The sequence below is a fragment of the Homo sapiens genome, chromosome 8 (assembly GCF_000001405.40).
Source record: "Homo sapiens chromosome 8, GRCh38.p14 Primary Assembly".
Taxonomy (NCBI): Eukaryota; Metazoa; Chordata; class Mammalia; order Primates; family Hominidae; genus Homo; species Homo sapiens.
The window spans coordinates 26031485-26052911 of NC_000008.11; the positions used below are offsets into that span (position 1 = coordinate 26031485).

The following is a 21427-nucleotide window of genomic DNA, read 5'->3' on the forward strand; positions in this document are numbered from 1 at the left end:
GAGTGCAGTGGCGTGATCTTGGCTCACTGCAATCTGTGCCTCCTGGGTTCAAGCGATTTTCCTGCCTCAGCCTCCCAAGTAGCTGGGATTACAGGCATGTGCCACCATGCCTGACTAATTTTTGTATTTTTAGTAAAGTCTGGGGTCCACTATGTTGACCAGGCTGGTCGCAAACCCCCGACCTCAAGTGATCTGCCCACCTCGGTCTTCCTAAGTGCTGGGATTACAGGCGTGAGTTACGGCACCCAGCCTGGAAGTAAGGACAGCTGTGTTCTAATGCCAGCTCTGCCCAACCAGCTGCACAACCACGGGCAAGTCATGCCACCGCTCAGCGTTCAGATTTTTCAGCTAGATGAGGAAAATGACTGACTCCAAAGAGTCCTTGCAACTCTATATATTTAAGCTTCTCTGTACTTTCAAAAAAGACCAGAGCAACCCCAATAGCTCCCTAAAACGCAGCTCACTGGAACCTTCTAAAATGGCAAAGACACTATACACATCCAACAAACATTTTATATTTGCCCATCATCCTCTTCAAGCATCTCAGAGAACACTGCAAAGCTGCCATTGATATTTCAGTAGCCTCTTGAAGCCTACAGAAGTGACTGCACCTCCTAACCCATCATTATATTATTGAAGAACAAAGATGCTGAGTGCTTTGTCCAAGGTCAGAAGCTAGGACAAGATCAGAATTCCAGCCTCCTCAGTTCCTAGGCTATGCTATACTTTCCACGAAGAAACCAAGCTGGCTTTCTGGGAAGAATGCCAGAGGTTCCATTCTCCCAACTGAGAATTCGTTGGAATATTGGAATAACAACTTTGGAGACTGTGGTCTCTCCAATCCATTTCAGGACCTGGCTAGAAATGTGAAAACCCAAAGAAAGAAGCAATAGGGAATTATTCCGTTTTTTAACGAAAGAGAAAAAAATTAGGGATGGGAATATGGGGTTTCTTAAAAATTACATGATTTCTGGAAGTTAATTTGGTATTTCTTCATTGGTTTGTAAGTTCTGTTTCCAATCACAAAAAACAGACAGCTGAGGATGCCTAAATCACATTTCAGTGAATTAGTGTCTTGTCCCAAAGAATCTTTCCCATTCTGAATATAACATAGAACACAGAATGCAATCCTCCATGGTAGAAAGGAATCTCCCTGAACACAGCAGAGAGCTTGCCATAATCCCCTAAACCGTAATCTGAATTGATAATCTTCCAGCCAAGCAGCAATCACCGAGAATAATAAAGTGGGTGCCACTTAACTTGGGGCACATTGCTTCTTCTAGAAAACTGATTGAGACCATACCCTGCCCGAAAGGAGAGGTGCCATCGCTTATATCCTGCACCACACATACTACTTATTAGGCTGAAGCTGGTGCACCTGGAAAAGACTCCACCACAGATTTAGAGACACGTGTTCCAAAGGAAGATTCTGGCTTCTTCCAAGAAAGGCCAGCATGAGGAGGCCTTTGTTGGATGAGCTTAGTGACTTGAAATAACATGAAACCAACTTGACAGCAAAGCTCCATGGATCAGTACTCAGAGTTGAGGTTCATGAAGAAAAGGAACCAAAAATGATTGAAAAATCACTTTTTCCCCCTACCTGTCAATTATGACTGGGTCCGATGGAGTCTCATTTCGGTTTCCACAGCTTTTCTTTTCGCAGCATCGACTGTAGATTGGGAAGGAACCAAGAGTGAAAGAAATTTATTAAATCAAGAAAATGCAATGAGCACATGACAAGAACATTTTTTCCCCCCAGACAGAGTCTGGCTCTGTCACCAGGCTGTAGTACAATGGCTTGATGCCTCCTTCTTGGCTCACCACAACCTCTGCCTCCTGGGTTCAAGCAATTCTCCTGCCTCAGCCTCCTGACTAACTGGGACTACAGGTGTGTGCCACCGCGCCCAGCTAATTTCTGTATTTTTACTAAAGATGGGTTGTTACCATGTTGGCCAGGCTGGTCTTGAACTCCTGACCTCAGGTGATCTGCCCACCTCGGCCTCCCAAAGTGCTGGGATTACTGGCATGAGCTGTAGTGCCTGGCCACAAGAACATTCACCTTCGTGAATCTGTCTTGGAGGGAAACAACACACACTGGGGCCTGTCCGAGGGGTGGTGCAGGGAGGGAGAGCCTCAGGAAGAATAGCTAATGGATGCTGGGCTTAATACCTAGATGATGGGTTGATCTGTGCAGCAAACCACCGTGGCACATGTTTACCTGTGTAACAAACCTATACGTCCTGCACATGGTCCCCTGAACTTAAAATAAAAGTTGAAGAAAAAAAAATGAATCTGTCTAAGGTAGCTTCCCAACTATAAGCTACTTGAGGGCAGGATTTATGACCATGTTTTATAAAATAAAAAATAAAAAACACTGAACCTGAAGCCAAAATATACTCAAATTCTCACTCTGTGACTTAGAAGCTGGCTAATTCTCAGCAAATCACAACTTTCCCATGAGTCATATTTGTAATCGGAACCACGGAAGGTTGGATATTAAGATGGATAAGGTCACTTCCAGATTGATATTCAATGATTTTATGATATTTTAGATATTTGTGGCTCAGTAAATAATTAAAGAAACGAGAGGAAGGAAAATATGTAAAATAGACTGCAAGTGGCTGCCAGGATTACTATAAACCTTATTTACATAACATCTTTCTCCAGAGATCTTGCTATACTTTATAAACATTTATTCATTCACTTATTTCCATCATTTTTCAGATGATGTAGGAAGACCAGAACTATGGTATACATTTTAAAATACGAGGAAAATGAAGCAAGGAGCTGTTGGATGGTAGCTCCAATAATTTTTACCAAGTCTGAAACAGAAATGGTATCCCACTGTTTGTAAGTCCCAGCTCTGAAAACTCCACTTTCCAAGACGTCCCTCTTGTGCTGGGTACCTGATAGAAAGACCTCAATAAATGCTGATAGGATTAGCTGAGAGGGAGATAAAGAAGATCCCCTGGGGCAATTACAACAAACAGAAAGTACTCCCTAGGACCTGAGAGGGGTGCAAAACACTCCAGTCCAAAGGTATCTGTTCGAAAATACCTAGACAAATGTGAGAAGGGCAAAGGAAGCTTGCTGGTAAGAAGCACTGGGAATTCACTCCCTTACCACCAGGGAGCCCATCTGCTGCCTATCAGGGCTACAGACTTCTGAATACCTCTCAGCTCATCTCAGGTACATGGTCCACTATCAACTATAGTTGGCTAAGGATGTAGCCTTGACATGGCTTTTTAAAAAATCTTTATCATCCATACTGGTTGGAGAATATGCCTAAGGAGTAAGCACACTAACAATAACCAAACTCTATGTGAACACTGCCCTGCCCATGGTAGTTTTTCTGTAGCATAAGTTTGACATGATACCTTAGGAAGATTGCTGAACTGGGAATCAGCGTTCTGGTGTCCAAGCTGTCACCAACCAGCTTCACAAATTTAGTCAAATGTCTTTAACCCCTCTGGGCTTTTTCTTTCTTATGAATAAAGTGAAAGTGTTGGATTTGATTCTCTCTAGAGTGTCTTCTAGGTCTAAGTCCATGAGGCTAGGGGATTCCATGAGCACCCTTTGAAAGTGGTGATAACATAAGGAAAAAGGGAAGTCATGTGACAGCAGGAACCCAATGGCCTAGCACCAACCCAGTCTTAGAATTTTTTTTTTTTTTTTTGAGACAGGGTCTCCCTTTGTTGCTCAGGCTGGAATGCAGTGACATGATCATGACTCACTGCAGTCTCAACCTTCCAGGTTTAAATGATCCTCCTTTCTCAGACTCCCATATGTAGCTGAGACAACAGGTGCACACCACCACACTTGGCTAATTTTTTATTTTTCATTTTGGTAGAGATAGGGTCTTGCTGTGTTGCCCAGGCTGATCTCGAACTCCTAGGCTCAAGCCATCTGCCCACATCGGCCTCCCAAAGTGCTAGGATTACAGGTGTATGCCACCATGCCAAGCCCCAGTCCTAGCTCTGTGGCTCTCTGCAGCTCATTTGCCCTCTCTGGTTCTCCACAGAATTAAACACAAACAAATAAATATCTTAAAACTTTTTAAACCCACCTCTTTCATGGGTGTGTGGATTCGCAAGTGAGTAAGTCTACCATCCTCAGAAAGTAAAATATACTTGAGAGATGCTTAAACATTTGCAGCAAATGGGCACAATGAGGTTTTAAGAAATTTAATCAAATTAGTAGGAAGGAAAAGAAAAATGGTCTCAACTTTCTTAAATACCAGAGTTTGCCACTGGGACTTTCTGAAATAATATTTGGCCTTTGAAATTATATTAGGTCTTAACTTTTAAAATTTCAATCCATCCCAAGATTAACACCAATAAAAATGCAGGCCAGCTGCTCTCCCACCTCCTAAAGCCCTTGTCTCTCTTCCCAAATCCCTACCCCCCACCCATTTCTCCCACCTTTCCTGTTTCTAGAATATTGCTTATGTCAACGTAATACCTTTGCAGCTCAGGCAAACCATTTTTCTTAGCAACACAGTTTCAAAAGACCCATACATGCCAGCTACCTACAGACCTTCAAGCAAGACTCTCCCTTTTGACATCACCAGCATGTCAACCTAACCCCAAATATGTGTGCAATGCCGGGTACAATTTAATTACAAGAGCACACACTGTCAGAACGTGCCAATCTGTTTAGTTTGGGTAGGAATGATTCTGAGGGGGCTGAGTAAGTTTTCAAAATTGTTCAGCTGAATTCAGCTGCCTTCCGTGGGGATTTCCTCTGGAGGAAAAGAAAACAGATAAAAATGTAAGCCTGGTGCCAGTGTAGTATAATGTAGGGAAAGAACTTGGGAGGAAATGATATTCAAAGAAAAATGCAGATAAACTTTAGGATCCAATCCTCCATTTTCCAACAGTAACATATTTAAATATCATCTCTAATGCTGATATTCAGCACAAAACATACATAGAACACACTCACTTGGCCATTGAACTATAATAGTAAAGGTATAAAAATAATAGAACTTGGTTGAATTAGCCCCATTTGAGCCCATCTTAAATTTTTTTCTGGGTCTGTTAAGTTGGCCAAAGCAAATTATTATTTTTTTTTTTAGAAAAGTTCTCACTAATATGTTCTAGTCGTTCTTTGTTTTTAACGGCATTCAGTCCTCCTGCCAGCAATATTAGCACAAGCAATGGGAAGTGGAGAACCTGAGATGTTTGTGAACCTACACTCCCCAAACAGTGTGGAACAGCTAAGAAACCAGGTCCCTGAATTACTCAGATGATAAACTCAATTCTGCCTTCCCTTTGCTGTGTAAACAAAGCCTGAGTGACCAACTTCAGGTTCAGCTACTTTAGTTAAAAGGCTTTTAGGATTATTCTCCAACAAGCAAGTCTGAAGTTCCTGATAAGTGTTTTCTAAAACTAAAAATGACTCTAAGATTAAAAAAAAAAGTAATAAAAAAATAAATAAAACAAAGAGAAGAGGAAACTGAGCTTGGCAATAGGTTAAGACTGTGTTCGTAACAACCCCAGAGAGACTCAGAGGTGCTCTTTTTTCCTAATGAATGAAAATGAAAGCTGTTCCACTGTTTCTCTCTGGCTTGGTTTGGTTTATTTTATTCTAGTACTTATTTGGAGAATCTTTTACTTGAAACACTCTCAATTTATTCTCCCCATCTCCACCCGGAGTCTTTGAAGGAGAGAGAAAAAATAAAACAAGTTGGAAGTGGGAGGTGGGGAAATATGAGAACTCTTATCACAATCCTGAATCATACCTGCATTTTTTAGAAAGGGAAAAAGAGGAATAAAAGATGGCTGGGGAAGGGGAAAAAGCCCCAGCCTTGGACAGAGAGTGTCCCGTCAGCCAAACTCCAGCTCACGACAAGCGAGTGTGTCCCTTTCCCCTCCAAAATAGTTTTTAAAATTCAACCTTCAACTTTCAAAAATCTGTCTCTAATTTCAAACTCAAATAAGCGCACAGCATGGTGGCTTTTGTTTTGTTTTCTTCTCCCCAACTCCTCCCTGCGATTGCATAACAAAAGTGTCTAAATTCACACCATCTGGCCGATAAAGACACTGGCCCCACTGCCCGGCTGGCCCATCTGATTAGGGCCCTGTCTAGCCTGCGCCTTGTGGCGAAAAGTCACAGCTGTGGGGTTTGCTCAAGCTCAATACAACTCTGTTATTAGCCAGCTGTAGGCCTTGAGACGACTTCTGTTCAAATTATAATATCTTTTAACCCTCTGAGCATTGAGGGCTCAGGGGTGGCTGGCAGCGACATAACAACTAGATTTCTCCTTGCTAATAATTGGCAAAATGAACCAAAGCAGGGAAGAGAGGAACAGAGACCATTGGGGAAGGGAGAAAAAAAAAGTTATTCCTAAAGAGATTTATTTTGTCTCTGCTTTGTTCCCCCATTCAAAGCTAAACACAGATTTATGAGGCTTTTACTAAAGATTACGGAACATAAAACCATCCGGGGAAGTGCCCAGGTATGCCAAATAACACTATGCAAATGAAACTAAGTATATGCAATAACCCTTGAGAAACAGGGCACCTGATTCATCTCTCAATCATTGACTGCTACAACTGGCTCTTAAAATGTAAGAGAAGGAACTTTTCCCCCTTCCTGGAGTATCAACCAGCTCTAACTGACAGATTGAATGAGAACTTCCCTTTTGGATGCATCTAATATTTGCCATTACCCATCTCATCTGCACACATGTACACACACACATGTATGCTGCAGACAGTATCCATCCAATGGATCATTTATTTACACATAATTAATATTTATTTTAAATTGTAGTTTGGGAAGAAAACAGCAGAGCATCTTCCCAGGTCTCCAATGCAGAGAAGTTACAGTACATTAAATTTTTATATTGTGTTACTAATGCAGACTAAACTAGAGGCTTTAAAAATTGATGCTGCTACTTAAACAGCATAAAATGAGGAGGATTTGATTGGGCTTAAAAATAAAAATGTCAGTCTTAACTACAGCTGGATGGGGCATGCAAGTATTATTTTAAATGATAGGTATAATTCATTAGACAATGGATCAATTTTTTGTTTTCTTTCCTTTTCAGGAGGTAATCTCTCCAAACAAAGGCATAAAAAGAAAAACCTCCCTTCAACTAACCAACCTAATCAAAGCGTTCTATTTAAATCTAGGTATTATATGAACTACATCTCAGAACTGTATTTTCTTTCTGAACAAATCTATCAAACGTCCCTGAGATATTGGAGTATCTATCTTCTTACTCCTCCCAATGCCTTCCCCCCAGCTACTCCAGCAAGGAAGCCTCCATTGCTTTCAGCTGAAGCCACTGGCATTTGGAAAGTTTGTTTTGGTACTTGGTCAAAACCAAAACAAACATGTCTGATTGTTATGGTTTCTTCCTGACTGGGTTGGGGAGGGAGACAGGGCTTCAGGGAGCTGCCCGTAAAACAGTACACACTAAATCAGATAATCTGCAATTACCCAAAGCTAGTAAGTCTGGAGTTAGGAGACATTGACTAAAGCAATAGCCAAGTAAGGAAGAATTGAGACTTTCCCTCCAATCAAAGATTTTTGGAGGAAGAAAAGCATGTATGGAGCAGACATTTAAATTTTCATAATAAAATAGCCACACTCTTCCCAGAGTTTCCTATTTATATCCTTTCTTGTCTGCGGTGGGATCCCCAGCACCCAACCGATACCGGGCACACGTTAGGCACTCAATAAACATTTGTTGAAAGAATAAGGGTAGATGCAATTCTTCTGATTTTTTAAACTTTCTTCTAGTCAGGCAGAAAAAAAGGGTGGGGGGGGAATGCACAGGACTCAAGGTGGAATGGATTGATCTCTGAAAGGAAGATGGGAAAGGTGCAGGAACGCCAGTAGACTGAACCTTTCACGACGTGAATATCAGAATCCAGCTGTTGCTCCACACTCCAGATCTCCCAGCGGGTCCTCTCCCTGCCCCTCCTAACGCTGGTGGGAACTGGACTGATCTTTCTTCCAGGTAGTTCCTTCTGACCTGAGAAACTCCCCCGACACGAGAACTCCTAAGAGAGCAACCTCCCGGGAGGAAGAAACGCCCACGCATCACAGCAGGTGCCTGGGTGCCAGGAAGCACCCCGGAAATGAGCCGCTGGACCCTCTGGTGGTCCCTCGCCCAGACTAGGAGTCGTTCCAGGGCTTTCACTCAGTAACTCCAAGTGGAGTTACTGGAAATCTACCACAAGAGGCCCGGCGGGAACTCCAGCCGATCCCAAACCCGGCCCGGGGTTGCCCAGCCCGCTTCCACCACTACCACTGACAAGGGCACAGTGGAGACTTTCCACGTAGCCGGAGGAAACTCCTGCGACATCAGAGAGGTGGAATCCCGAGTCGTTCTGAGTCCCAATGGTTATGCTTTAAGACACTTGCATGAAGGGGTTTCCGTGGATCTACACTCTGCGCCCGTCTGCCCGCGAGGCCTCCCAGCTGCGAGCGCTCAGTCCTGAAAGTTAGTCCCGGGAACGCGGCGCGCCAAGGCGGGGCTGGAGCACCTGCGGGCTCTCCAGGAAGGCCTGGGAAAAGGCGGCTCTTACCTACACATCACTTCGTGCGTCAGGAGAACTCGGCACATTTCCGGATTCTTATTCTGTCCCTCGTAAGCGATGGGCTGTGAAGGAGGTAGTGGCAGGAAAGGAAGATGTGGAGAGGGGTGGGGGGCAAGGAAAGAAGGGACTTCAGAACAAGCACAACATCGCTTTCCCTCCCACTACCTGCCACCGCATTAGGAATTCCCGCCCGCAGCACATTCTGCGCGGTTGCCGAGTTTGGACTCGACTGAAATCATAGAGAAGTTTGCCCCAGTGAGAACATCATTCTTAGCAAAATGGAATGTTTGCGGGAACTGAATCTCCCAATAATTGTTTCCTCTCCATCCTTTTTGTTCGCCTCTTACTGCCCCCAGGGTTTCCCTGAGCCAGACAAAACAGGTCACTTGGTGAGACAGGGAAGAAAAAAAAAAAAAAATCTTCCCTAGCAGACAAGGTGCTGGGAGGGGGACGTGGAGGGGGCTGTGGAGTCTGACCCAGGAAATCGTGGAGGAGGGGCAGGTCAGAAACAAACTGGGGGGTTTGGGGGTCGGGGTCAGAGACAGGCGAAGAGAAGCCAAGTGGCCTCCGGCTCACCTGCTTGGTGACCGAGTCGATGAGCCTGACATAGAGGTCCTGTTCCGTGCGGACACCTGCGGGGACCGGAGGGGCACGAGTCAAGGGCCGTAGAGCCCCTTCCGGGCACCCCAAACCCTTCTCTGCCATGGGTCTGAGGCCCAAGCAGCCTCTCCATGCTGAGCCGCCCTGGAGACGGTGACCTCCCAATCCCCTGTCCCAGGCAAGCCTCCCGCCGCCCTGGGCTCCATGCGATCCCTGAGAGTGATCATGGCAAGGTCAGCGCGTGCGGCCCGGAAGCCGGCTGCTAGGCGCCGGCTCACCGTTGCTGTAGAAGAGCTCACCGTTGCTGTAGAGGAGCTGTAACTTGTAGTGAGTGCCGTTGTTGGTCTTCTCGTTGCCTTGTTCCTGAAAAGACAGGCAGCGTTCGATTCCCTTGCCTTTCAGCCCCCCAAAATGAGGGAAAGAGGAGACAGTGAATCCCCACCTCACATCCCTTCTCCCCATCAAAAGGCAGCTTTGAGTAACCCCCTGTTCAGCCCTAGGTCAAAGGGCATGAGCATCTGCCTGTCCTTGGCCGCCCCCGGAAACTTGCCAAGACTCGTAGCCACTTGACCCTTTCCAGCCCTCTGTCTCCCTTAAAAATGTCCTCAGAAGTGTGACCCTTGAGCTTCCGACAACAGGACCACTTGCCAAAGCTGCCTTTAAACAGGCACCACCCAACCCATCGGGCTCTGTCTGTCCTTAGGAAGCCCCAAGGCTTCCCTTGGCAGAAAAGTGAAGGGACTTGTCATTTGGAAAGGCAGCATTCGGGCCTATCCCGCGAGGACTGCGCACGCAGGGCCACGAGCTCAGGGACTGAGTTCCAGGTTCAGGAGGGACTTTGGGAAGTGCCTACTCTAAAGCTCACATTGTACAGCTGGGGACACGGAGACCCGGAAAGGGCAAGGGATTTTCCTTTGGTCACACATAGGTTTCGGCGGACTGTCCTTCATTTGAGACCGAACCCAGCCCCCAATTCCAGGCTTGAGTTTGGAGGAGGCGCTGCCTTGGAGAACAGAACAGGAGAGAAGACACGGCCAGAAGGCAGGCCAAGGCTGGGCTGCCGGTTTCCACTTAGTGCCGCAACTCAGGCCACCTGGCTCTCGCAGGTGCAAAATAATTAAAATTAACCCAGAGAAGGGGAGCGGCGGCCTTGGGTGTACTTTTTAACTAGTCCAAGGGGCGTTTGCTCCGCCGTCAGTCCATAACCAGGCGCTACTAAGGCCTCCAGGCTCGGTGCGCAGAGCCGGGAGCGCTCCTCCAGCTCCAGGTTGGGGGAGTCGGGGTGGGAGGAGGTTCGGGAAATCGACTGATTTAGAGGCTGGGGGTGAGTAGCCTCGATTTATCATCCCTGATGGTGAGAGTGGAAAAGTGTCGCGAGAGTGACAGATGGAATCTTTAGTGCTTCGCAAGAGGGAGTTATTAGGCCGCGGGGTTTGGGGGGTACTTTCCGCTTACTTTGTCATTCTCCACAAAGTCCACGAAGGCCGTCCGCTCGATCTCCACCGGCTGGCCCTGCCTGTCATAGAGCGCCAGGACGAAGTGAAAGAAGTTGGATTTCCTCAAGTTGGAAGGAGGCTGTTTCTCAAAGTGGGCCCGGGACAGGGCGACCCCGCTGCACAGGGAGAAAAACGGGGGAACACAAGACACGGGGAAGCACAAAAAGGCGATGTTACTAACCGCCCACAACACTGCAGAGGGGTAAGGGGTCCACTTCCCAGGTCCAGAGTTCTGAACCCTTCGGGCCTTTTTTCCAATTCGGATAAGGAAGAGGAGACTCCTTAAAGGAGTCACCGTGGCCACGGGGGTTGGGTGGCAGGGTTGATACCTGGGGTCTCTGACACCACCAAGTGGTCCGGCATCCCACCGCTGGGCCACTCACCATCCCGTCTTTAGTCGAAACCGAAAGACCCCGGCTGCAGACAGAGGCCCAGAGTGGTCCCCTAAGGAGGTGGCCCGCGTCCTATACCGTGGGGCTGTCTCCATCCACTCCCTCAGGTGGTACTGCTGGGTGTATCAGGATGCAGAGCTGGGGCCCAGGGTTAGGGGAATAAGTGCCTCCTTTGCTTTGGAAGAAGCGACCCTTTTATTTAGTATTAATTCGAGTTATCAGTCCTGGACCCACTGCTCACAACGCCCAAATGCTGACTGGGAAAGGTAGTGGGTAAGAACCCCAAGGGGCAGGCGGGAGAGTAACACAGAGTCCAGGTCTGGGTCCTTGGGCTGCTTGCCTCGCTCTTCCGAAAAGTTGTGCCTGGGACAGAGACAGGGCGGAATCCTCGCGACCAGCCCCGGGGATCGCTGGCCACCACAAATGAGATGACCGACATAGGGGGCCCTCCCTCCCAGAGGTGCTAGGTGGGGAAAAGCCAAACTGTTAAAAGGCGAGAACCTCCTTTCCTGGGGCCAACGCGATCCCCACTCATGCTGCGTTTTCTGGCGGCGCCAGCCGAACCCAGTGACTGTGAAACCCAAGTTGGGGGACCCGGAAGGCGCCCTCGAGCGTGCTGAGTGTGTGCACACGCTTCCCAGCCAACCGGTCGCAGTCACAGCCCACCTGGCCATCAGATCCCATTTCACCGAAGACTTGGGGCTGAGGTGAACGCACAGATTGCGGGAGCTGCCCTGCGGCGCTGGGGTCTCCCAGGTTGAACCCCGGTGCGCAAGCACCTTCATTCACTCTTTTGAAAGGGGTAACATTTTGGCTAAGCTCTCCCCCACTAAGTCTGCTCCTTCCAGCTTCAACAAACTTTTTGATCCCGGGAAGGAAGGAAAGCGAGGGAGGCGTCTTTAAGGAGCCCAGCTAAGGAAATGCGCGGCACAGTTGGCTCTGCGGTGCTGCCTTATTTCCCTTAGCTCGCAGGCGGGCCAGTCCCGAAGCGCTGCGGAAAGCCGCGGCCGCCGCGCTGTGCGGTCTGCCGGAGGGAAATCCGCGCTCCCCGGGCCACAGGAGGGAGGGAACCGCCGCCGGCCCAAGTCCCGGAGCGATAAAACTTCTGCTTTCTCCGCTCCAAGGGTAGAGGCCGGTTCGCTCTACCCGGGACACCTGGCCAGTTTGGGAAAGGGATCATTTCTCCGTGTGATGTTGGCACTTAAATGTGGGTGGCCAGGAGGGCAGCAGGGGAAGCGAGGGTAGTGGAAGAAGTTCATCGGCTCTTTGGGGGTAGAAGGGCTGCCTCTCTCGCAGACAAGGACCTGGAGGCCACAAATCCCAACTCAGTAGTGGTGATGAGAGAGTGGGACCGTAATGTCTTCGTAGGGTGGCACCCCGGACATGGTATTTACTATCCCAGCACGCAGACGCCTAAACACAAAGTCAACTTCAGGGATCCGCAAAACCAGAGGCTGGCGATCCCTGAGCCAGTCTAGCTGCTGGTGGCCTTTTCTCGCCTCTTTCTTCTTCCGCAACTCTTTCTACTGTGACTCAGTATTTTCTCTTCTTTTAAATCTCTTCTTTTCTCCAGTTCCCTAGCTCCGTTCGTCTGGCTCACTGTTTTATCTTTGAGCCGGGACCCTCCAGCCTGTCCCCCCTCCCAGAGCTCCCGGCCGCCTCGTCTTCCCGGGCAGCCGCTCCGGCTTTTCCCGCTCCCCTCGCCGCCGCCACCCTCTGGCCGCCGGCCTCCCAGGCTCCAGGAATCGCCCAGCAAGATGCGGGAGGTAGGCGCTCGCAGGCGGCGTGGCGAAGCCAAGAGTGGCCAGGAAGCCGGCTTTCCTCCCGCGCCGCCACTGCCAGCGCCGGTGTTCACGCTCCGTTCGGGGCCAGGCCGGCTCGGCTTGCAGGACTAGGGGCTGAGCTGGGAGATGTTGGGGGCTACTTTATTTTTCCTTGCAAAGAGTGGACTGTGGTAAAGGAGAGGGAGAGAAACGCCTACGACCCAGGCAGTTCAGGAACTCGAGTGCCGGCTGCCGGGTGAGCGTTCGCCTGACTGCAGCGATCTGCTTGCCCGAGGGCGAGCCCCAGCGCGCAGGGCCTGGGCGACAGATGGGGGGACAGGGAGAGAGAAAGGCACGGGGTGCGCGGGGGGGGTGCACACGGAGAGACAGACCGTAAGAGCGAGAGACAGCATAATAATTGCGCGGCCGTGTCGTTACCTCTGCGCGGCGACATTAGCGTCCACCACTCCGACATTCCGGACCCAGGACCTGACCGAATCCATCTCCGCGCCCAGCGATTTCTCTTTCAGAGTTGGTCCTCTTCCTAAAGTATCTTGAATTCCAAACATTTAAAAAGTCTGATCCTCTACTGTCGCTTTAAAAGTAAGAGTTACAACACAGTCCTGACTGTTCCCAACGTTGCCAGCAAATCGTCTCCTCCAAAGCAATCCAAGAAAAGGGATCAAGTGCCCAAGTTTGAGTCTTAGAAAAAAAAAAAAGATAACCCGTCCTTTGCTTCACTGGCGAGGTGCGGACTGATGTAGTCAAAGTTTGGGTTCTTATCCTCCGCAAGTTCAGATCTGCCGCCTCAGCCACTCCACCCTAGGTCGCTCGCATCCTTCCAGCTGCAGTGCTGCCTCCTGAAAGTGATCACAATTTAGAAGCATCACCTGTTCTGGGAGAAACTGGAGGAAATTGATGGCTGCCTAATCTCTCCCCTTCCTCCAGGTCCCCCCTCCCTGCTCCTCCCCACCGTTCCAATTTAGAAAAAAAAAAAATCCCCAACAGGATCAGTTGTAAAAAGAAGGGGAAGACCTGGAGCCGAGAGGAGGCGGTGGCTGCGAGCGCCACGGAGCCCGGCTGCAGCCGCGCGCGGGCCCCATGAATGGGTTACTACGGCCCTGGCTGCGGGAGGCGGAGCTGCGGCCCGATAAGGAGCCTCATTTGCATGGACGCGCGGGATTGGCCGGCGCCTGGCAAGCCGGGCCGACGTCCTCCGGCGGCGCGCGCCACGCTCTGCGTTGCCGGGACTCCGGGAGGTGAAAGGGGACAGAAAGCTGCGGGCGTCGAGTCCTAGCACGAACCCCGTGTGCTTGCGCAGGATTGGGGGGCCCCCACACCCTGCACTGACTTAGGGTAGCAGGTCTCTGCGGGCTGGGGACGCAGGGGTTCGGCCTGGCTGCGGGAAGCCTCCCTGGATCCTGCCTCTAGATGTAGGCTTTTGTAGCCTGCCGGGAGGCACGTTCGTTCCCGGGGTTCGGATCTGTGTGCATGCTTGTGAGCGTGGCCACATGTGCTTATGTTTTGCGCAAACGTCCCCCAGAGCACCCAGCTCCCTGAATGGCTCCCCAGGTCTCCTGGAGTTCCATGGTGATATCAGATGTTGTGTGCGGCTTGCACGTTGCTGAGAGTGGAGAACATATGAAAGAAGGCGGGGGATGGGGTGGGGCGGACAAGCGAGGGGCAAGTGCTGCTCAAATACAGTGCTGGGGAAAACGGTCCAGGACCTAAGGAAAACACCCGCGGGCGGGCGGGCGCGAGCGGCAGTCGCACCCGTGTGGAGGAGAGGTTGCTGACAGATCGAGGCGGGCTGAGTGCGCGAGCGGCCGGGGAGTATTCCCGCGGGTCCTCCGGTTCCCTCCCCACCTCTCCGTTCCCGAAGCCCCCGGTAGTGGGCGGGGAGGGACGGGGGAGTCGTGGAAACTTCGCCCACCGCGCGCGGTCGCCGCGGTGCTGGCCGCGGGCTGGTGGCCGGCAGGCGGTGGCAGCAGCCTCACCGAACAGCTGAAACCCTAGACGGTTTTTTAACTGCGCGGGGCTGCTCGCGGTGCCTATTAAACATCCTCCTGGCTGGGTGTCATTTTCTTGCTTCTCCTTTTGTATTCTGATCTGCGCATAGATCTGCTGCTGCTGAAATCTAGAACACCAGCGCGAAAACAGATTTGAAGACAATGAATGCAAATCTGTGCTCAAAGACCATCTGCCGTGGAGGAGACAATCAGCTGTTCGTAGTTCGAGCGATTGCGCCCCAGTCTCCCGGTCTCATTACGGGGAGGGCATTTGCGAGCGCCTGGACTGCGTTCAGGGCACTTTCTCCCCTCTTGGGTCTCAGATTTGAGAGACCAGATCCCTTAGGTGTAGGTGAGCGCTCGCAAATGAACTGCTAGAGTTTGCCGCTAGAGGACACAGCGCCTTGCAACTGGTTTGCCTAGGCTGACAGGAAGCTTGCACTTCAAGAAAACTCGGCTCTCTCGAGAAAGGGACCGGTGCGCGCCTCCACCTCCCCAAGGGACAAACCGCGGCACCACGCTGCGTGCGCGGGATTGCGACTAGGAAGTGCTGGTCCGAACTGCGGAGATTCGCTTGAAAACGGATAGGGGGTTAGGGAGTTTGCGGGGCGGGTGCACGGACCGTCTCTGCACAGGCCCCGGGATCCAGGGACTGGGGTCATTGATTTGGGGGAAGGTAGAGAAGGTAAACCCCCCGCCTCTGGGTTGTGTTGACTGTGGTACCCCGACCCCAGAGCTCTGGCTTGGTCCTCCCTGTTGGACTGGAAGGGGCGGGAGAGCCATACAGGGCGATTGGGAAATGGATCGGGTGGCTAGTAAAAGCCAAGTAAGACAGGAGTGTCCAAAGGAAGAAGGGGGTAGGGAGGGAAATTTGTAGGGATGAGATTCACTGCCCTGTTTCAACTCGGCAATTCTCTGTTACATGCAGGTTTTACGGAGAATTTCGGTCCCAGCAAAAACTGATCACCTGGAGTCTTCTACGGTCTCTCTTTATAAATCTCTCCGAACCTCAAGCAACTCCCCCCCACCCCCTTCGTCTGGGGTCTGCGCCCAGCGGGGCCAAAGCCTTGAGTTCCTTGGCAGAGAGTGTGGAACAGCCGTGAGCCCTTCAAGACATGCCTATGAGCCCGGTGATTTTTTTTTCAAGGGGGCTTTGATCAGCTGTACCTCCACGTTGCCCCGGAAAGGTGCGCAGGGCACCCGGAGAGGCCTCTGGTCAGCAGTGGGCCTGGGCCAAGCCCCAACAGTTTACCCCTCAGGCTCAGGTTGGCTGGGGTTAAAGGGCAAAGTCAGGGTCGAGGGCACCAGCTTTTCTCGGCGGTAACAGCTGCCACCCAAATTATGCCCCCTCAGGAAGCGAATGAATTGTTCCTTTCTCCCAGCTCCCTGCTGCCCGCCCCAAAACAGACGGGGCCGCGCTCGGCGGGCGCCCCTCCTCCCAGCCAACCCCCCGAGACGCGCTCAGGGGCCTCGGTGCCCCGCTGGGAGGCAATTTGGGGGAGCCGTGGTCCCGAACTTTGACAGAGTGGGGCTTCCCCACTACTTGCCGGCTGCGCTAAGGGCGCCCCCCGCGGCAGTGCTGCTGGGAGCTCCAGGGATGGCTGTGTGGCTCGCTGCGGGCGTTGAAGTTCCCTGTTGGCCAGGCTGAAGTGCCTGCGCGAGCGTGAGGGGACAAGGACTGCCTTGGGCCCAGCGTGGCGGCGTTTCGGCCAACCCAGTTGGGGTTAATTGCGTCTGTATAGGTTTTGGGTAGGAATGCTCGCGGAGTCCGCCACCCGCGCGAAACATGCGTTGGTTGGGGGAATGAGCAGCGGCGGCTGCGCCTGGAGGGTTGCTCCCACCTCTGTCGCCTCCAGCTACCCCCAAACAAACCTCCTTTTCGATCTCGTGCAACACAAAACCTGCCCCGAGCTGTGCGGGGGCCTGGCAAGCGCAGCTGCGGCCCCGGGAAGCCCAATCCCGCGGGACTGCGGAGCCCACGCGCTCCTCAGGCTCCGGCCAACTAGCTCGGTTCTGCCTCTAGCCCGGGTCAAGAAAAATCCAAAATGAACACTATGATTAAAATTATTCACAATCTATTTATACAAAACTGGGGGTGTCTGTCTTTTACCCTGTCCCCTTCTTCATTTACCCTTCCCAAATGACCCTCACCCCCGTTTTTTTCATGTTTCTGTTTCACGTCTGCAACCCAGTGCGGTATGTTCGATTTCCTTTTAATTGGTTTTAAGCCCCTTTGCTCAATCTCGTCCGGTCCAGTCATCTGGGCGCCAAGTCTCTCCTCCCGATCAGAGGTTCGGAAATTTTACTTAGAAACTGCTCTCCTGGCTGTGTTCCTGTCCGGCAGGACACTGGGGTGAATTCAGAGATGTCAGAACACACCCCTAAATACGACCTTCACCCCCTCTTCCAGACACACACCCCCTGCGCCGAAGCACAGAGCCAGACAGTAGCCGGGGAATTCGATTCACAGGGAGAGCCAGTCTGGGTTTTATAAATGGAAAAAGTGGCTGTCCCCCTGGCCTGTCTTCGAACGTGAATTTTACAATTTTGGGTTTTTTATTTTTTAAGCTGGAACTTTTACTCTTTGTCCGACTACAAAGAAATAGCTTTACTTGGCATATCAGAGACCTGCCGAATATTTAACTCACAATTCTTTATGAAATGCTTTTTTTAAATATCGAACTCCATTAACTCTCACACCAAATTGCAACTTTGGCATTTTCTTCCGGAAACTAGATTTGTATGTTCTATAAATGCAAATTCCCTAGAGAGGGTGGGAGAAAAGAAACTAATCATAAATGCACGACAAATATCTCAGGGGGACTCCGCCGTCAATACCAAACAGCTCCCTTATAGGACAATTTGGGTAAGAAGTGGATTCGCTTCTTTTGTTTTCGCATAGTGAAGGAGATTCAGCGGCAACAGCTGCAGAAATACTGAGTCGTGGAGGAACGTTTTAGAGACACTTGATGTCGGTTGTATCCAGGCCAGTCGGGGCACTGCAGTAAGTTTACCCAAAATAGACTGGAGGAGCCAGATTCACCGCTACCCTAACACTTGGCAACTCCAGAAAGTCTTCCTCCTCGTCTTCCTCTCCTCTGCTCCTCCTCCCCCTGGTATTCTCCTTCAGAAATATCCCTCTTTCCCATCTCCTTATTCCGGGTGCAGAACGAGCGAGGAAGCAAAGCGGAAAGGTCAAGAGAACAAATTCTCGCAGCAGCAGCTTGGGGAGCGCGGGTGACCACGCGGAAATAGAGGCCCGGGAGGTGTGTGTGCTGCGGAACAGGCTGTCTGTATAGGGAAGTGATTGATAGCTTCCACGCGAACCTGGGGACCCGATTTCCCAGGTGGGAGGGGTGACTTTCACGTGAAGCCCCTGCTGGGGGCCTTGCTGGGGTAAATCGGCTGGCCGATTACAGCCCCTTTCAGGGAACTGTGCACGAAGGCGGTGGCATCTGTCATCACTATTTACGGTGCAGCGATCAGGGCAAGTTGACCCGCATTAAAAGGCCTAATCATGCTGGTCTCCGTGAAACGGAAGACCAAGAGGAAGGTACTAACGATCAGAGGCAGGACTTGCCCAGGCCCTTTCTCGCCCTTAAACTTCACAGCAACACTTCCAGTGGAATTTATTGATTTGTTTGCCCCCATTTTACAGATGAACAAAATGAGGGTGGGAGATGACAAGTGGCATCCCAGCTGCTAAATGGGGAATAAGGATCCTCCCCGATCTTCCACTTCTAATACTCAACAATAGGGTGCAACAGAAGGCCTTCAGAAAGAAAAAGTTAAATATGACATTTTTCTTTTTTCTTTTTTTCCGGCTTCTTAGCTCAGTGATAACCGAAGAGCTACTCTGAAATGCCCCCCTTTTCCTGGTGGTGCCCGCCAGCCGGCAGGGGAAAGCCCGAGGGACCTCCCAGCTCCTTCCCGGATCGCGGCGGAGGTGTGAGCGATGTGTTGATTATTCATATTTTTACCGAGCGCATACTCTGCTGCGGCCGGCGCCGCCACATTTCACACGTACACTGACGTACCCACATGCACAAGCGCTCACTCGGCCCCGCACGCAAGCAGCGCCCCGCGCGCCCGGGGCCCTCCTCGGATAAGGGAGGGGTGACAAAAGTCTCCCGCTCACTGCTGCCTACCCACCCCCAACCCGGCTGCCTTTTCCTCCAGGCCCCCACAAACACCCTTGGCTTTCAGATCCAACTTTCTTCCTCATAATATACTAGTCACCGCGACTCCCGCCTCCCGGATTTGAGGATGGGGGAGACTTTGGCGGCGGGGGTCAGCTGCAAATATGGCACCATCTAGAATTTCATTCCATTTAGCACTAGGCAACCTCCTCCTCCAACACACACACGCACTCGCACACCATCACGATCACCTCCACCTACACTGGCACACCTCACTCAGGTGGCAAGAGAGAAAATCCAGGAAAGTCACTTGCATAGAGTGCACGGATTTCAAGAAGTCTTTGACGGTGCAAACTGGACTTCTAATCATGGGATCTCTCCAAACACAGCCCAAGGCCTAGAAATTCCATTTCTGGCTCACGGAACCTTCCACCCCCACCCCCTCACCTGCCGCGAGCCGGGCAATCATTTCGGGGCGCCAGTGGGTCCAGGGCGCACGGGACATGGCACCCACGGAAAACCTCAGAGCCAGCTGGGAAAACAGAGATCGCTCTCCTGGCCGGGCAGCTCCATACCACCCTCGAAGGGGGACACAACTTCCACTTACTCTTTTCTCCCAAAGGAGAGCAGATGGGGGTCACAGGGCTTGGGGGTCACTGCGTTCAGACAGTCACCCCGCGCGGTAAGTGCTTAGAGCAACGTTTATAGGGCAATGCTGGCCTCGCCGCGTAGGGGTCGCTGGACTAAATGCCCAGAAACCCTCACAACCCGTGATGTCCACTTTCCGTGGATCTGAACCCGGGCAAGTTCGGTCGTTTCTGTTGTCCTCACTCGAAGGAGAAACTTTGGTGTCCGCAGACCCAGGTTAGAGGCTGGCATTTACTAATAAGGTCTCTGGCATTTGTTGTTACTCCTCTGAACCTCGGTTTCCTAGCCAGTTAAATGGGAATGTTATTCCTCTGAATTTCAGCTCCCTTACTGGTAAAATGGGGATATTTATTCCTCAGAGCTTTGCTTGCCTTACGGATAAGACAGCTTAGGTGAAAGTATCTGGCACGCAGTAGGTGTTCAATAAACGCTTGCTTTCCTTCAGCATCTGCAGGTGTAAGATGAGGATGATCACATCTGCTTATGGAATTCACTGGGTCCTGAGTCTCCTATGGGGATGGGTTTCCTTTCCCCCGACCTATGCGCTCCTGAGGCAGGGATTCTGACTCGCTTGTCCTTGCAGCTCCTTTGCCTGGCACAGGGACTGGATCGCTCAGTGGGTGATAAGCTTTTTGTTTGTTCCGCATGGAATTGCATGTGAGAAAAGCGCTTTGGAAGCTGTTTGGTGCACGCGGGCGTCAGAGGGCACCGTAGGTCACTGAGCGGGGTCTCACCCAGGGAGAGAATGCGACTTCATTCCTAGGAGGCTGTGCTGGGGGCTCCGCGCTGCGCGCGGCAGTGAGTAGGGCGCACCCCGAATGCAAGTGCGGTTCGCTGCGTGGCCGCGTGCTGGGATGGATCGCGGAACTCGCTAGATAATTGAAGATCTCGAGGAGCTCTGAAATGGATCTTCGGTTTCTACGACAAACCCCCGTCGATGAGTGGTTCACAGAGAGCTTGGGGAGCCCCTCCCCGCCCTGCGCCCTCAGGAAGAGACGCGGCTCGCCTGACACTACTGGTCTCTGTCTCCCGAGAGCCAGAGCCGAGCTCCCCGAGTGGTGCTTTCCAGAGCCCGCATTAAACGAAGCTGGGAGGGAGAACTGAGACACTGTCAGCCAGGAGGTGGCTGACTGGAGGCTGCGGGGTGCGGCAGTGGTGGCGGGGGGAGGGGGGAGGCGGTGTTAAGGGGTGAGGTTCCAGACTTTTCCATTCCACAGAACTAGAAGCTCTTTTAAAACTTGCAGCATCTTTTATGCAAAGGCAATGCATGTTTATTGCAGAAAAATATATACAAATAAAAACAAAAGAAATTTGTAACCGCCTCCAATGGCATCAACATAAATAACTGTTGCTACCATTTGGATGGGTTTTCTCCCTTTATTTTATGCATATTTCTATATACAGTACTCTAAATGGGAGCATAGACTATATGCTGATTTGTAACCTGTTGGCTCACTTAATATAGCATATTTTCCTATGCCATTAAATATTTTTCTACAGTAACATTTAATATTTGCATAGTATTTCCCTATCCATACCATAAATTGTTTGACCAGTCTATTGGATTGGACATTTAAGTTGCTCTTAATTCTTCACTATTATAAACAATACTATGATGAACATCTTTGTAGCTTAGTTTTTCAATAACTATGATTCTTTCCTTAAGATAAAGTCCTAGAAGTAAAATTGCAAAATCAAAGGCTTTGCATGTTTTTACACCTTAATACAGATTGACAATTTGGCCTCTCGAAAGACTAAATGTACACTTTTGCCAGCAATACCTGATATTACCCCTTCTGGCCCTCACCCCTCAACCTTCTGAATC

At 50.7% G+C, this 21427-nt stretch overlaps 1 protein-coding gene across 1 annotated transcript in view, besides 6 other annotated features; it reads right to left on the reverse strand.

The window, feature by feature from the left end:
• The window catches only part of EBF2 (EBF transcription factor 2), a 203689-nt gene extending 189760 nt beyond the window's left edge, over positions 1-13929 (reverse strand). The window contains exons 1-6 of the mRNA NM_022659.4: positions 13245-13929; positions 10611-10767; positions 9455-9518; positions 9132-9187; positions 8544-8617; positions 1601-1669 (exon numbers count right to left, since the gene is read on the reverse strand). Coding sequence (NP_073150.2) covers positions 1601-1669; positions 8544-8617; positions 9132-9187; positions 9455-9518; positions 10611-10767; positions 13245-13375 — 551 coding nt within the window. The 5' untranslated portion in view covers positions 13376-13929. The remainder of the gene's footprint in view (positions 1-1600; positions 1670-8543; positions 8618-9131; positions 9188-9454; positions 9519-10610; positions 10768-13244) is intronic.
• Positions 5716-6299: an enhancer, noted in NCBI's record as "OCT4-NANOG hESC enhancer chr8:25894716-25895299 (GRCh37/hg19 assembly coordinates)". NCBI's record gives its function as "activates a minimal SCP1, AML or CMV promoter by ChIP-STARR-seq in primed H9 embryonic stem cells {active_cell/tissue: H9 hESC(primed)}" and the evidence as "EXISTENCE:reporter gene assay evidence [ECO:0000049][PMID:30033119]".
• Positions 11849-12143: a silencer, noted in NCBI's record as "tiled region #188; HepG2 Repressive non-DNase unmatched - State 22:ReprW". NCBI's record gives its function as "represses a minimal TATA promoter and a strong SV40 promoter by Sharpr-MPRA in HepG2 cells {active_cell/tissue: HepG2}" and the evidence as "EXISTENCE:reporter gene assay evidence [ECO:0000049][PMID:27701403]".
• Positions 16445-17237: an enhancer, noted in NCBI's record as "H3K27ac-H3K4me1 hESC enhancer chr8:25905445-25906237 (GRCh37/hg19 assembly coordinates)". NCBI's record gives its function as "activates a minimal SCP1, AML or CMV promoter by ChIP-STARR-seq in primed H9 embryonic stem cells {active_cell/tissue: H9 hESC(primed)}" and the evidence as "EXISTENCE:reporter gene assay evidence [ECO:0000049][PMID:30033119]".
• Positions 17636-18515: an enhancer, noted in NCBI's record as "H3K27ac-H3K4me1 hESC enhancer chr8:25906636-25907515 (GRCh37/hg19 assembly coordinates)". NCBI's record gives its function as "activates a minimal SCP1, AML or CMV promoter by ChIP-STARR-seq in primed H9 embryonic stem cells {active_cell/tissue: H9 hESC(primed)}" and the evidence as "EXISTENCE:reporter gene assay evidence [ECO:0000049][PMID:30033119]".
• Positions 19395-20274: an enhancer, noted in NCBI's record as "H3K4me1 hESC enhancer chr8:25908395-25909274 (GRCh37/hg19 assembly coordinates)". NCBI's record gives its function as "activates a minimal SCP1, AML or CMV promoter by ChIP-STARR-seq in naive H9 embryonic stem cells {active_cell/tissue: H9 hESC(naive)}" and the evidence as "EXISTENCE:reporter gene assay evidence [ECO:0000049][PMID:30033119]".
• Positions 20275-21152: an enhancer, noted in NCBI's record as "H3K4me1 hESC enhancer chr8:25909275-25910152 (GRCh37/hg19 assembly coordinates)". NCBI's record gives its function as "activates a minimal SCP1, AML or CMV promoter by ChIP-STARR-seq in naive and primed H9 embryonic stem cells {active_cell/tissue: H9 hESC(naive and primed)}" and the evidence as "EXISTENCE:reporter gene assay evidence [ECO:0000049][PMID:30033119]".